The sequence below is a fragment of the Homo sapiens genome, chromosome 9 (assembly GCF_000001405.40).
Source record: "Homo sapiens chromosome 9, GRCh38.p14 Primary Assembly".
Taxonomy (NCBI): domain Eukaryota; kingdom Metazoa; phylum Chordata; class Mammalia; order Primates; family Hominidae; genus Homo; species Homo sapiens.
In genome coordinates this window covers 5,087,006-5,101,934 of record NC_000009.12, presented here as the reverse complement: position 1 = coordinate 5,101,934, position 14,929 = coordinate 5,087,006, and the positions used below count along the sequence as shown (strand labels likewise).

At 38.8% G+C, this 14,929-nt stretch overlaps 2 protein-coding genes and 8 pseudogenes across 10 annotated transcripts in view; 1 reads left to right on the top strand and 9 right to left on the bottom strand.

Moving 5' to 3' along the window:
- JAK2 (Janus kinase 2) overlaps positions 1 to 14,929 on the bottom strand; it is a 145,559-nt gene that overhangs the window by 28,014 nt on the left and 102,616 nt on the right. For all 9 annotated transcript variants that reach the window (NR_169763.1, NR_169764.1, NM_001322194.2 and 6 more), the window contains 3 exons: positions 12,072 to 12,261; positions 11,365 to 11,489; positions 11,024 to 11,196 (listed from right to left, as the gene is read on the bottom strand). Coding sequence is in view for 7 of the 9 variants with exons in the window: in NM_001322194.2 (NP_001309123.1) it covers positions 11,024 to 11,196; positions 11,365 to 11,489; positions 12,072 to 12,261 (488 nt within the window). In the remaining 2 variants the exon portion in view is untranslated. The remainder of the gene's footprint in view (positions 1 to 11,023; positions 11,197 to 11,364; positions 11,490 to 12,071; positions 12,262 to 14,929) is intronic.
- The window catches only part of INSL6 (insulin like 6), a 193,664-nt gene that overhangs the window by 83,705 nt on the left and 95,030 nt on the right, over positions 1 to 14,929 (top strand). The window lies entirely within an intron of this gene.
- Positions 926 to 1,699, bottom strand: MTCO3P11 (MT-CO3 pseudogene 11; annotated as a pseudogene).
- On the bottom strand, positions 1,706 to 2,375 carry MTATP6P11 (MT-ATP6 pseudogene 11; annotated as a pseudogene).
- Positions 2,610 to 3,594, bottom strand: MTCO2P11 (MT-CO2 pseudogene 11; annotated as a pseudogene).
- MTCO1P11 (MT-CO1 pseudogene 11) lies at positions 3,742 to 5,269 on the bottom strand (annotated as a pseudogene).
- Positions 5,677 to 6,707, bottom strand: MTND2P36 (MT-ND2 pseudogene 36; annotated as a pseudogene).
- MTND1P11 (MT-ND1 pseudogene 11) lies at positions 6,919 to 7,835 on the bottom strand (annotated as a pseudogene).
- On the bottom strand, positions 9,856 to 10,326 carry MTND5P36 (MT-ND5 pseudogene 36; annotated as a pseudogene).
- On the bottom strand, positions 10,331 to 10,842 carry MTND6P5 (MT-ND6 pseudogene 5; annotated as a pseudogene).

Genomic DNA, 14,929 nt, shown 5'->3' with positions numbered 1-14,929 from the left:
TGTGGTTTTATCTACTTTTGGTCTTTGGTGCTGGTAACCTACAGATGGGGTTTTGGTGTGGATGCCCTTTTTGTTGATGTTGATGCTATTCCTTTCTGTTTGTTAGTTTTCTTTCTAACAGTCAGGTCCCTCAGCTGCAGGTCTCTTGGAGTTTGCTGGAGGTCCACTCCAGACTCTGTTTGCCTCGGTATCTGCAGTGGAGGCTGCAGAACAGCAAATATTGCAGAACAGCCAATGTTGCTGCCTGATCCTTCCTCTGGAAGCTTCGTCCCAGACAGGCACCCACCTGTATGAGGTGTCAGTTGGCCTCTACTGGGAGGTGTCTCCCACTTAGGCTACAGAAGCATCAGGGATCCACCTGAGGCAGTCTGTCCATTGTCAGAGCTCAAACACCATGCTGGTAGAAACACTGCTCTCTTCAGAGCTGTCAGACAGGGACGTTTAAGTCTGCAGAAGTTTCTGCTGCCTTTTCAGCTATGCCCTGCCCCCAGAGGTGTGGTCTACAAAGGCAGCAGGCCTTGCAGAGCTGTGGTGGGCTCCACCCAGTTCGAGCTTCCCTGGCCACTTTGTTTACCTACTCAAGCCTCAGCAATGGCGGACGCCCCTCCGCCTGCCAGGCTGCTGCCTCACGGGTGGATCTTAGGCTGCTGTGCTAGCAGTGAGCAGGGCTCCGTGGGTGTGGGACCTGCCAAGCCAGACATGGGATATAATCTCCTGGTGTGCCATTTGGTAAGACTGTTGGAAAAGCACAGTATTTGGGCAAAAGTGTCCTGATTTTCCAGGTACAGTCTGTCATGGCTTCCCTTGGCTGGGAAAGGGAAATCCCCTGACCCCTTGTGCTTCCTGGGTGAGGTGATGCCCCGCCCTGCTTCAACTTGCCCTCTGTGGGCTGCACCCCCTGTCCAACCAGTCCCGATGAGATGAACCAGGTACCTCAGTTGGAAATGCGGAAATCACCATCTTCTGCGTCGATCATGCTGGGAGCTGCAGACTGGAGCTATTCCTATTCAGACATCTTGTAAAGTGATATTTTAATTGGCGGAGGAAGCAGATAGTGAGAAATGTTGATCCAGTAATAACATGAAATCCATGAAAGCCTGTGGCTGTAAAGAATGTTGAGCCATAGATCCCATCAGAGATAGTAAAAGGGGCCTCAAAGTACTGAGATTTGTAGGAGGGTGAAGTAAATACCTAAGGTAATCGTGATGGATAGTGCTAGAATTATTTGCTTTCGATTTCCTTCTATCAGGCTGTGATGAGCCGAAGTAACTGAAACTCCTGATGCAAATAATACAGATGTATTCAGAAAGGTACTTCTAAGCGTTTGAGGGGAAAAATGCCTGTTGGGGGGTCAGTGTCCTCCTAATTCTGGCATTGGGGCTAGACTAGAGTGATAGAATGCCCAGAAGAAACCAGCAAAGAAGAATACTTCTCAGATAATAAATAGAATTATTCCATATTGGAGGCCTTTTTGGACAACTGTTGTATGGTGGCCTTGAAATTTACTTTCTCAGATAATATCACATCATCATTGGTATACAGTTAGTGTGTTGATTAATAGGCCTAGGGTTAAAAGAGTAGTAGAATTAAAGTGAAATCACATGGCCAGGCCAGATGTTATTAGTAGAGCTGAGAGAGCTTCTGTTAGTGGTCAGGGGCTGGGTTTGACTATATGGCAAGCATGTGTTTGGTGGGTCATTATGTGTTGTCATATAGATAAAGGCTTACTAGTAGTGTGAAGACATAAGCCTGAATAAGGTCTATGGCGAATTTGAGAATAGTCAGTAGGATTAGAATAATAAAAGCAACTGAAGCTGTGGGAAAACTAATAGCTAATAGTACTAGTGTGTCTCCTGCAATTAAATGTATTAGTAGATGACTGACTATAATGTTGGCTGTTAATTGCACAGCTAATGCTATTGGTTGAATAAATAGGCTAATGGTTTCAATGATTACTAGTATAGGGATAAGTGGCATAGGTGTGCCTTGTGGTAAAAAGCCAGCCAAGGAGTTTTTCGTTTTAAAGCAGAAGACTGTAATTACTGCGCCTGCTCACAGGGGGATTGCTATACCCAGGTTTATTGATAATTGGATAGTTGGTGTAAATGAATGGGGTAGAAGCCCAAGGAGGTTGGTTGAGGCAGTGAAGATAATTAGGGATATTATTATAAGGGATCAGGTTTGTCCTTTAATGTTATGGGTAATTATTATCTGTTTTAGTGCAGGTTGGATTAATCATCGTTGAATAGAAAATAATCGGTTACTAATTTGATGACTAGAGGTTGGAAACAGTGGGAAACAGAATGATTAATACTACTGCTGGTAGGCCTAGAATTGTAGGGGTAGCAAAAGAGATGAATAGATTTCGTTCATTTTAATTCTCAGGAAGCCTTGTGTTTTTGTGTTTTGATTATTTTTGGTGTAGGGATAATATAAATGAAATTTAATAATTTTAACTGAATAATGGAGAATAAAGTTATGATTATTGACAGGATAATAATGGATCATGTGGAAGTATCTAGTTGAGGCATTCACTGCAGAGAGGTGTAGACTCCGTCAATCTTTAACTTAAAAGGTAAATGCTGAATAGCTTTACAGTGATATTTTAGTGTAGATGTGGATCAGGTTTTGAAATATTTTAAGAGGATTAGTTCTAGGACAATAGGTATAAAACTGGTTAGATTCACAAATTTCTGAGCACTGTCCATAGTAAAGACCTGGTCGCCCAGTGGTTAAGGTAGTTTGATTTAAGCATCTGGGGATTGCATCTGTTTTGAGGCCTAATAAGGGGATAGTTCATGAGTGCAGGATGTCTTCAGATGAGATTAATATATGGATGGGTATTTCTGTTGGGAGAATTGTTCGGTTATCAACTTCAAGGAGTCGAAGTTCTCCTGGTTTTAAGTCTGGTGTTGGGGTTATATAAGAATTGAAGCTTAAGCCGGGCGCAGTGGCTCACACGCCTGTAATCCCAGCACTTTGGGAGGCTGAAGTGGGTGGAACACAACGTCAGGAGATGAAGACCATCCTGGCTAACATGGTGAAACCCCGTCTCTACTAAAAATACAAAAAAATTACCCAGGCATGGTGGCGGTCGCCTGTAGTCCCAGCTACTCGGGAGGCTGAGGCAGGAGAATGGCGTGAACCCGGGAGGCAGAGCTTGCAGTGAGCTGAGATCACACCACTGCACTGCAGCCTGGGCGACAGAGCGAGACTCTGTCTCAAAAAAAAAAAAAAGGAATTGAAGCTTAATTCTTCATAGTCTATATATTCATAGCTTCAATATCATTGATGACCAATTGCTTTGACAGTAAGGGAAGGATTATTAACTTCATCTGTTTTATACAGAATACGTAGGGATGAGAGGCCTTAAAATTAAGATAATGGCAGGTAAGATAGTTCAAACAGTCTCAATTTCTTGGGCATCTGTGGTGCTAATATGAGTTAATTTTGTTGTGAGTATTACGGAAATAATGTATAGAACCAGGAACTAATTAGGAAAATAATTATAAGAACGTGGTCACGGAAAGTGAGCGGTTCTTCTATGATAGGGGATGTAGCGTCTTGAAGGCCTAATTGAACTGGATGAGCCATTAAGACATATAGGATTTAGCCTATAACTTAACTTTGACAAAGTTACGTAATGAATTTGCTAATATCTTATCGAGAAAGTCACAGAGGTTTTTGATTGGCTTGAAACCAGTTTCTGGAAGTTAATTCCTTTCTTTTTCATTTAAGGGTTTAATGTAGGTTGGCTCTTCAAATGTGTGGTAAGGTGGTGGACAGCCATAAAGTCACTCTAAATTACTAGATGGTTGTTCAATTGTTATAGTTTTTCTTTTCGAAACAAAGGCTTCTCAGATTATAAAAATTGTTAGCATAACTGCTGCTAATGAGATAAATGAGCCTAAGGATGAGATAATATTTCATGCGGTGTATGCATCAGGATAATCGGAATAACGTTGCGGCATACCGGATAGGCCAAGGAAGTGCTGTGGGAAAAAGGTTAAATTAACACCTATGAATATAATGGTGAAGTGAATTTTAGCGTAGGTCTGATTAAGCATATAACCTGAGAATGGGGGAACCAGTGGTAAAGCCTCCTATGATGGCGAACACCGCTCCTGGTGATAGGACGTAGTGGAAATGAGCTACAACATAGTATGTATCATGTAAAATAATATCTAGTGATGAATTAGCTAGTACAATGCCAATTAGACCTCCTACTGTGAAAAGAAAGATGAATCCTAGGGCTCAGAACATTGCGGGAGATCATTTGATGTTACCACCACGCAGTGTAGCTAATCAGCTAAAGACCTTGATGCCAGTAGGCATAGCAGTAATTATGGTAGCGGAGGTGAAGTATGCTCATGTGTCTGTGTCTATGTCTGTTCCTACTGTAAATATATGGTGTGCTCATACAATAAACCCTAAGAAGCCAATAGATATTATGGCTCATACTATGCCCATATACCCAAATGGCTCCTTTTTTCCAGAGTAATACGTCACGACATGGGAGATCATCCCAAAGCCTGATAGAATAAGGATATAAACTTCAGGGTGACCAAAGAATCAGAATAAATGTTGATATAAGATAGGATCACCCCCACCAGCAGGGTCAAAAAGTAGTGTTGAGGTTACGGTCAGTTAATATTGTGGTAATGCCAGCGGCTAGGACTGAGAGAGAAAGGAGTAGGATTGCTGTAATGAGGAATGGTTGGACGAAAAGGGGTGTTTGATATTGGGATATGGCTGGGGGCTTTTTGTTAATAATTGTAGTAATAAAGTTAATGGCTCCTAAAATAGAATACCTGCCAAGTGAAGTGAGAAGATGGTAAGACCCACAAAGGATCCTGCATGTGTTAGGTTTTCAGCTAAAGGGGGATAAACTGTTCAGCCAGTTCCAGCACCGGCTTCTATTGAGGATGCAAGTAGGAGTAGGAAAGAGTGGGGGAGAAGTAAAAAGCTCATTATTATTTATCCGTGGAAATGCCATATCAGGGGCAGCAATTATCAGAGGGACTAGTTAGTTGCCGAAACCCCCAATTATAATTGATATGACCATAAAGAAGATTATGACAAATTCGTGGGCGGTAACAATAACATTATAGATCTGGTCATCTCCTAGCAGAGTTCCTGGTTGACCTAATTCTGCTCAAATTAGAAGGCTTAAGGAGGTACCCACTATCCCCACTCATGCGCCGAACAGCAGGTATAGTGTTCCGATAGCTTTGTGATTGGTTGAAAACAATCAACAATTGATGAACATAAGTGGAAAAAAGGGTAAAATGGCTGAGTAAGCATTGGACTGTAAATCTAAAGACAGAGGTCAAGACCTCTTTTTACCAGCCCTGAGGTAATTTTTTATGTTGAATTGCAAATTCAAAGGAGCAGCTTCAATGCTGCCAGGGCTTCTCCGGCCTACCACCCTCCCCCCACATGGAGGGAGAAGTAGATTGAAGCCAGTTGATTAGGGTATTTAGCTGTTAACTAAATTTTTGTGGGTTTGAATTCCACCGATCTAGCAAGGACTTAGCTTAATTAAAGTGGTTGATTTGCGTTCAACTGATGCAGAATAGAGTTTTGCAGTCCTTGGGTTTGTTACAGAAATTAAGTATAATTCATTTACTAAGGGTTTTGAAGGTCCCTGGTCTTATTTAACCTAAATTTCTAAGTTATAACTAGAATCAGTGGAGAGATGGGTAAGAGGAAGGTAGAAGAAATAAGTGGAGGGAGGAGTAATATGGGTTTTGTGTTTTTGAATTGTCATTTTATTTTCGTATTATTGGATGTGGGGAATATTGTCATTGAGATGGAGTAAATTAGGCATATATAAAACTACAGGTTGAGTAGTGTTATGATAGCTATAATGGTTGGGGTAATAAGACTATTGTTTTTTGAAAATTCTTGAATGATGACTCATTCAGGCAGAAATCCTGTTAATGGAGGTAAAGCTCCTAGGGATAGTAGAATTAGTGAAACTATAGGTGTTAATCATGTTAATTTGTTTCAAGTGTGAGACAGTGACAGGGTTGTAGTGCTTATACTTAGGCTAAGTGCTAGAAATGTGGTAGTTGTTAAAATAAGGTAAACAATCAGATTTATAATGGTAACGTTTGGATTATAAGTTAGTACTGGGATCATTCAACCTATATGAGTAATTGAGGAGTAGGTTAAGATTTTGCAGAATTGTGTTTGATTAAGTCCTCCTCAACCGCTTACGTTAATGGATAGGATTGTGATAGATAGGAGACTGGTCGTGTTTATTGATGGGAAAATTTGAAATATAATTGAGATAGGGGCTAGTTTTTGTCATGTGAGGAGAAGTATGCCAGACATTAGAGAAGTTCCCTGGGTTACTTCTGGGACTCGGAAGTGAAAGGGGGCTATTTCTAGCTTTATTACTAGGGCTGTTATTATTAAGGATGAAAATTGATTAGTAGTGTTTATTATTGTCCATTGCCCGGAGGACGGGTTGTTGAAAAGGATACCCATCATGAGAATTATAGATGCAGTTGCTTGTGTAAGAAAATATTTGGTGGCTGCTTCTGTAGAGTGGAGATTTGTTTTTTTAATCAAGATGGGGGTAAGAACTACTATATTTATTCCTAGGCCTGTTCAGATAAGAAATCAGTGTGAGCGTAGCATTGTGATGAGGGTTCCTGTGAAAATAGTAAGAGAGATAATAAGTTGAGCTAATGGATTAATTAGTATGGGAAGGGTATAACCAACATTTTCAGGAGAATGGGCCCAATAGCTTATTTAGCTGAACTTACTTTAGGATATGGTTTAATAGGTAGCATGGAGAATTTTGGAGTCTCAGGGATAGGTTCAATTCCTATAGTTCCAGAAATAAGAGGATTTTAACCTCTCTTGTTTACTCTATCAAAGTAATTCTTTTGTCAGACATATTTCCTATGTTTGGGGTGGAATGCTGGAAATTAGGAAAGGCATTGAGATATATGCAGAATGCTAATGTAAGTGGTAGGAAATTTTTTCATAAAAGGTATATGAGTTGGTTGTAGTGGAATTGGAGGTATGCTGTTCGGATTCATAAAAACGGTGGTTAAAAGGAGGGTCTTGGTAATGAAATTTATGGTACAGAGTTCTGGTGAATACATAGTGTGTAGTACTCCTAGAAAAATAGTAGTAGTCAGGGCATTTATACAATAATATTCATATATTCTGCTATAAAGAAGAGGGCAAATGAACTTGCAGCATATTCGACATTGAAGCCTGAAACTAGTTCTGATTCTCTTTCTGTTAAGTCAAAAGGGGCTCGGTTAGTTTTTGCTAGTGTGGAAATAAATCATAATATGGCTAAGGGTCATGATGGTAGGAGCGGTCAGAGTAATTCTGGCATTGTGATGCATGCATATAAGTTGAGCCACTTAGCAGTAGTAGTGATAGCAGGATAATGGCTAGGGTGACTTCATATGAAATTGTCTGGGCCACAGCTCGTAGTGTGCCGATCAGTACATAATTTGAATTGGATGCTTATCCTGATCATAGAATGGAATAGACTGCTAGGCTTGATGTGGCTAGAATAAATAAGAGGCCTATATTAAAATTAATTAGGGGATGGGGTATAGGAAGGGGAGTCCAGAAGAGGAGGGTGATAGAAAGGGCCAGGGTTGGAGGCAATGATATAAAGGGTAACAGTAGACGTTGAGGGTCGTAAGGGTTCTCTGGTGAAAAGTTTTATTGGGTCAGCAAATGGTTGAAGCAGTCCACAGGGGCCTACGGTATCAGGTCCTTTGCGTAACTGTTAAGTGTAAGGAATGCTATAGCAATTAGAGTGGGAATATAAGTAGGAAAAGGTTAATTATAGGCATATTGTTAAGAAGGGGAGTTGAACCTTTGATTGTAAAGTTTTACGTTTTATGCTATTGCCAGGCTCCGCCATCTTAAGAAACCCTGTTCTTGGGTGTGTGGTGATTTCCTAGATTGAGATAGCATCATTTATGGGGGGAGGGCACTTTATGAAGTGGGCCGTATTTCTCTTGTCCTTTCATACTAGGAGAAATGTTAAACAGATAGAAACCAACCTGGATTACTCTGGTCTGAAATCAGATCACATAGGACTTTAATCATTGAATAAATGAACCCTTAATAGCGGCTACACCATTAGGATGTCCTGATCCAACATCGAGGTCGTAAACCCTATTATTGATATGATAGAATAGGATTGCACTGTTATCCCTAGGGTAACTTGTTCTGTTGATCAAATTATTGGGTCAATGTGTATTAACTCGCTTAGACTACTGTGGTCTTAGTTTAGGTTGTTCGGAGGTTGAATATGCTATGAGGTCACCCCAACCAAAATTTTTAATGCAGAGATAGTAGGTTAAGGCCTATAGGCTTTTTGAGTTTTTATTTGCATTAATGAATTAAAGTGCCATGGGGTCTTCTCATCTTATTTGCTTATAAGCTCCTCTTCACCAATAGGTCAGATTCTACTGATTAAACGTAAGAGACAGCTGAACCCTCATGACAGCTGAACCCTCATGTGGCCATTCTTCTAAGTCCCTATTTAGGGAACAAGTGATTATGTTACCTTTGCAAGGTCAGGATATGGTGGTCGTTGAACATATGTCACTGGGCAGGCAGTGCCTCTAATACTGGTAATGCTAGAGGTGATGTTTTTGGTAAACAGGTGGGGTAAGATTTGCCGAGTTCCTTTTACTTTTTGTAATATTTCCTTAGAGCATGCCTGTGTTGGATTAACAGTATAAATAATAGGATGCTTATTGTAAAATATCTAGCTGTTAACTGTCAGTCAGTGGGTTATTCCAGTCTTATGTAAGCTTATGCGGTGGAGAATATTTTCATGTTATTTATATTAACATTATTGCTTCTATTAAATAATAGATTAGACCAGTGTAATGTTAGGAGTTCCGTAGAGTGATTAGAATTTAAGATACTTGGATGTTGAGCTTGAACACTTTCTTAATTGTTGGCTGCTTTTGGGCCAACTATGGCGATGTTATTTTGTACTCTCTGTAGGAAGGTTGGTTCCTAGGGTCTAAAGAGCTGTCCCTCTTTAGATTAACAGTTAAACTTACAGGGACATTAAGTAATTCTGTGGGTAAGTTTAAAGCTGAACTAAGATTCTATCTTGGACAACCAGCTATCAGCAGGCTTGATAGGCTTATCACCACTACTCATGAATCTTCCCACTATTTTGCCACGTAGGTGAGTACGCTCTTTCAGCCATTCTTGCATAGCTCATTTGGTTTCGGGGGACTTGGCTATCTCTGTGTAAAGTTATTTCTACTTAATACTTTATGCAGAAGGTATAAGGGCTTGTCTTTGCTCAGTTCTTTCATCTTTCCCTTACGGTACTGTATCTATTGTGCCAAGATAAGAATTTCTATTGCCTATTCTTTTGTCTAAGGTAAATGGTTTGATTACGATGGTTTAATAGTATTTTTAGTGAGGTTTGGGGCTAGGGTTGGCTCAAAGTGACCAGGTTGTGATGAAATCTTCCGGGTGTAAGCTGGATGCTTTGGGTTAAGCGACACTTTGTTTGTCCAAGAGCACTTTCCAGTACACTTACCATATTACGACTTATCTCCTCTATTCATGTATAGAGAATTTAAATAATATTTCTAGAATGATATTTGCGGAGGGTGACAGGCAGTGTGTGCGTGCTTCGTGGCCTTATTCAACCTCAACCAAGCACTCTACTCTTGGTTTACTGCTAAATCCTCCTTGAGCCCTTAGATTTCATAAAGGTTGTCGTGAGATTTTCTGGGGTAGAAAATGTGGCCCATTTCTTGCCACCTCATGAGCTACACGTTGACCTAACGTTTTTATGTATTTACTTGTGCTTACTTTATAACCTTAGGTGCTGTAATAGGACAACCTTGTTTTACAATTCTGATTGTTATTAATGATAATCCTCTCCGAATTAACTCAGTTCAGCACCTAGCAATCGGCAGTATCTTCGCCGGATTCCTCATCACTAACAGTATTATCCCTACTTCATCCCCCCAAACAACTATACCACTCCACCTAAAGCTCACAGCCCTAGGTGTAACCACCCTAGGTCTCTTACTAGCAATAGAGCTTAATTTCATAACTAACAACCTTAAAGTACCCATTATAGACATTTAACTTCTCCAGTATACTAGGTTTTTATTCAGCTACAATTCACCATTCAGCCCCCCGACTTAAGCCTATTCATAAGCCAAAATCTAGCTTCACTTCTACTAGACCCAGTTTGACTAGAAAAGTCTATACCAAAAACCATTTCACGAACCCAAACTTCAGCCTCCATTACTGTATCTGACCAAAAAGGCCTAAACTCTACTATTAATTATCTAATCTATTACCCTGAGTAATTTCAATTGCGACAAAAATACTAACAATGATCAACCAGCAACCACCAACCAACACCCATAATTATACAAGGCAGCTGCACCTACAAAATCCTCATGAATCAACCCCTCCCCCTCAAAAATTAAATCAACTCCCTATGCTATTAAAATCAACCGTGATCACCACCCCATCATATTCAACTATTCACCAAACCAGTATCAACTCTATTAATAATCCTAATAATAAGGCCCCTCAAATATCAGTACTTGGCCCTCATGTTTCAGGATACTCCTCAATAGCTATCACTGGAGTATAACCAAAAATAACCATTATACCACCCAAGTAAATAAAAAAGACTATTAACCCCATGAAAGCCCCACCAAAATTCAACACAATACCACAACCCACAGCACCACTAATAATTACCCCTAAGCCTCAATAAATAGGAGACAGTTTTGAAGAAAAACCTACAATCCCTATAAATAAGACAACACTTAATAGAAATAAAGCATATGCCATTTTCCCACGTGGACTATAACCATGACTATAAGACCTAAAAAAAAAAAGTTAAATGTAAGACTTAAAAGACTTAAATGTTCACTGTTACTGTAAATATAGAAATGGCAAACTATTAAATAACAACAATAAAGTTTGAAGTCTGTGCTCTAAAATTTCATTTATCATACTGAAATATACTCACCAGAATATGGGACTTTCACCAGGTTCTTTTACTTTATAGTATTCTTTGTCTTGTGGCAAGACTTTGGTTAACCCAAAATCTCCAATTTTAACTCTGTTCTCGTTCTCCACCAATATATTTCTCGTTGCCAGATCCCTGTGGATATACCTTTTTGTACCAAGATACTCCATACCCTATGGATAAAACATTTTTCTTTCAGCTAGTTTTATAAATATAAACAATTTAAATGGTCTTAACCCTATATATTCCCTTTATTATCTATGAAAACGTCTAGATGATTTCCTAATGTCTACTTCAACACGGTTGCTTCATCTACAGCAAATAATCAGGATATTAGTTACCTTGCATATCTGAGATGTGTACTGCAGAAGTTTTATGTGATCTATCCGTTCTTTATGTTTTTGAAGATAGTCTCGTAAACTTCCATATGGTAAATATTCCATAATTAATTTTAGATTACGCCGACCTTTTAACATAAAGGTGGAAATAATGTTTTACTCTGCCATATTATACTGATTAAATATTAGAAAACTATCATACATAAATGACTTAAACATATATGAAATCTAAGATGACAAAACTTTATTATACATTAAAGGTGATATAGTTGTTAAGAACATAGTCTTTTTGAATCAAAAACTTTTGAATGAATAAAAGCTTTGAAACTATTTGCGTTTCAGTTTTCTATAACTCTTCAGGCAAACCAAAATAAACTGATGAGAAAACTTCCTTTCTCCTCATTGATATCGAACAAAAAACATTGAATTCAAAAATATTTTTATAGAAAATGTAAACAAAAACAATTCCTTTAAAAATGATACTTTCTTGGTAAGCTTAAGCAAGAGGTGAAAAGAATGTTTAACCAACTAGCCAAATACTTCCTATAGTTATAGTCTATGATCACCAAACACAATCTCTAGTCATTATAGAATGCCTCTCCCTCTGGGCATTGGCATAAGTCCAGATCGTTAAGACATTGTACATTTATATTACACAGGATGCCAAACACATACCTTGAATTTAAAATAGGTTTCAATGGGCAGCTTACCAGCACTGTAGCACACTCCCTTGTACTTTACAATGTTGTCATGCTGTAGGGATTTCAGGATTTCAATTTCCCTTTCAAAGTCTCTTAGGTGCTCTTCAGTACTATGCTGAAGCTTTTTTACAGCGACCACCTCCCCAGTGTTGTCCTGTAGAGGGTCATACCGGCACATCTCCACACTCCCAAAATTACCCTAAATGACACATCACATTAGGATGGAAATACCAAGTTTTCAAGGCAAATTACAAATAAATTTTATAATTATATAGAAAATTCTAGTAGCTGGAATTAGCAGACTGTCTTTTTTTTTTTTTTTTTTTTTTTTTTTTGAGACGAAGTCTCGCTCTGTCACCCAGGTTGGAGTGCAGTGGCACGATCTCGGCTCACTGCAAGCTCCGCCCCCTGGGTTCACACCATTCTCCTGCCTCAGCCTCCCCAGTAGCTGGGAATACAGGCGCCCGCCAATACGCCCAGCTAATTTTTTGTATATTTAGTAGAGACAGGGTTTCGCTGTGTTAGCCAGGATTGTCTTGATCTCCTGACCTGGTGATCCACCCAACTCGGCCTCCCAAAGTGCTGGGATTACAGGCATGAGCCACCATGCCCAGCAGCAGACTATCTTTAAGCTTATATTAAGGAACTCTTAGAACAAGAAAAGGAAATACTATCTCAACAGGTGGGTAGTAAATCTGTAAATTTAATTTCTTCAAAAGGAATTATAGGCTGAAATATAAATTACTTCAAAAAAGCATTTAAATAAATGATGAGCATTAATTGTCAAGATAAGCCAAGGGACATGCTGAGGATTCCTAAACTTTTGTCACTAACTTCCAGGAAGAATTTTCCTTTTTTACAAAATACCTTTTGCTATCACTGTCAGTGATCTGGATGGAATGTGTCTGTTATGGGCTAAATGTCAGTGACCCCTTACCCAAAATTTATATAATGAAGCCTTAACCCCCAATATGACTGTATTTGGAGATAGGGCCTTGTGAGGAGGTGATAAAAGTTAAATTAGGTTATAAGGGTGGAACTCTAATGTGACAAGGCTAGTGCCCTTATAAGAGGAAGAGACATTAGAGCAATCTCTCTCTCCCATGTGAGGACACAGCAAGAAGATGGCCATCTGCAAGCCAAGAAGAAACCTCACTAGAAACCAATCCCTGCCAGAACTTTGATCTCAGACTTTCCAGGCCCTGGAATTCAAAGAAATAAATGTCTGATGTTTAAGCTACCCAGTCTATGGTATTTTGTTATAGCAGCCAAAGCAAATTAAGAAGTAAGAAACTTTTAGCCTATGGGATGACTCTACATTTTTTTTTTTGAAGATGTCTTTAAAGAAATCCACTCTTTTTACCTAAAACTCATTAAGTACATAGAATTGGTAAGTTGCTATAACATTTAAATAAAGTATAGGTTTTTGATATTAATCAAATTAGTGTATTTTGGATATTATTGCATTCTTACAGGATAAAACAATGTAGTTCTTGAGTTACAAGATTCTAAGTGACTATATTTTCAGTTATATACTTGAAGTCAGTTTTTTAAAAAACCTAGACCATGTAGGCTCAAAGTTAAATCTCTTAATTACACAGTTTAGAAGGCCACACAATAAGGTGGATAGACCCAGGACTCTCAAGACCCAGGACTCTCAAGTCAGATTGGAACTAGAATATTGATCCACAACTTGCTCTCTCTGTGACCGCGGACAATTCAGAACTCCCTAAAATGAGGTTTTTCATCCTTAAAGTGGAGAATAATAAAATGTCTATCTCATGAGGCTGTTGTGAGAAATTATTCCAAAACACATTTTAGAAAACAAAAGTAGGAAATAAGTTTTATCTTCTTCCCCTCTACTTAACAATGTGTTCATAAAATTTATTTTCTAGTGCCACTATATATTCCTTGAAATTAATAATTTTTAATTATTGTATATTGTCACACGAATGCACTAATTTTAACATTGGAAACATAAATGTACACTAAGAAAAATTTTTAAATACAGTCATGTCATTGCAATAATATTCTTATAAATAAATATTTGTGTACATCTCTATTAAGGATACTTAATTAGCTGTTCAAAAGATAAGAACATTTCAAAGGGACTTGATACACACTGCATTAGAAGCTGTCTGGCAGTGGTTACCATTTGATGTTCCAATAAGCAGTGGGAAAATGTATATTTTATCACATCCCTGCCAACAATGATCATTATACTTTTTCTAAATCCTTGTCACTTTGATAGGCAAAAATCAGTCTCACTTTTAATTCGGAATGCCTCTATTTTTCTTATGGAAGAAGGAGATGAAGAAAAATACAGCGAAAAGAAAGATTTAAGATAGAAAACCAGAAGGGTTTGAGATAGGACCAGGAAAGAAATCAAGTAAGGGAGTGATATGGTTTGGCATTGTCCTCACCCAAATCTCATCTTGAATTGTAAACCCCATAATCCCCACATGTCATTGGAAGGACCTGGTGGGAGGCAACTGAATCATGCGGGTGGTTTCCTCCATGCTGTTCTCGTGATAGTTCTCATGAGATCTGATGGTTTTGTAAGCATCTGGCATTTCTCCTGCTGGCACTCATTCTCTCTCCTGCTGCCCTGTGAAGAGGTGCCTTCTGCCATGACTGTAAGTTTCCTGAGGCCTCCCCAGCCATGGGTAACTGTCAGTCAATTAAACCTCTTTCCTTTATAAATTACCCAGTCTCGGGTATGTCTTTATTTGCAGCGTGAGAACAGACTAATACAACCAGTAAGAGTCATAAGTGCCTAACCAATGTTGGAAACCAATTTTCAATGAAAACAATAAAGATTTATATCTGATTTTTTTCTTTTAGTGTTTGAGGGATGGAAGCACAAT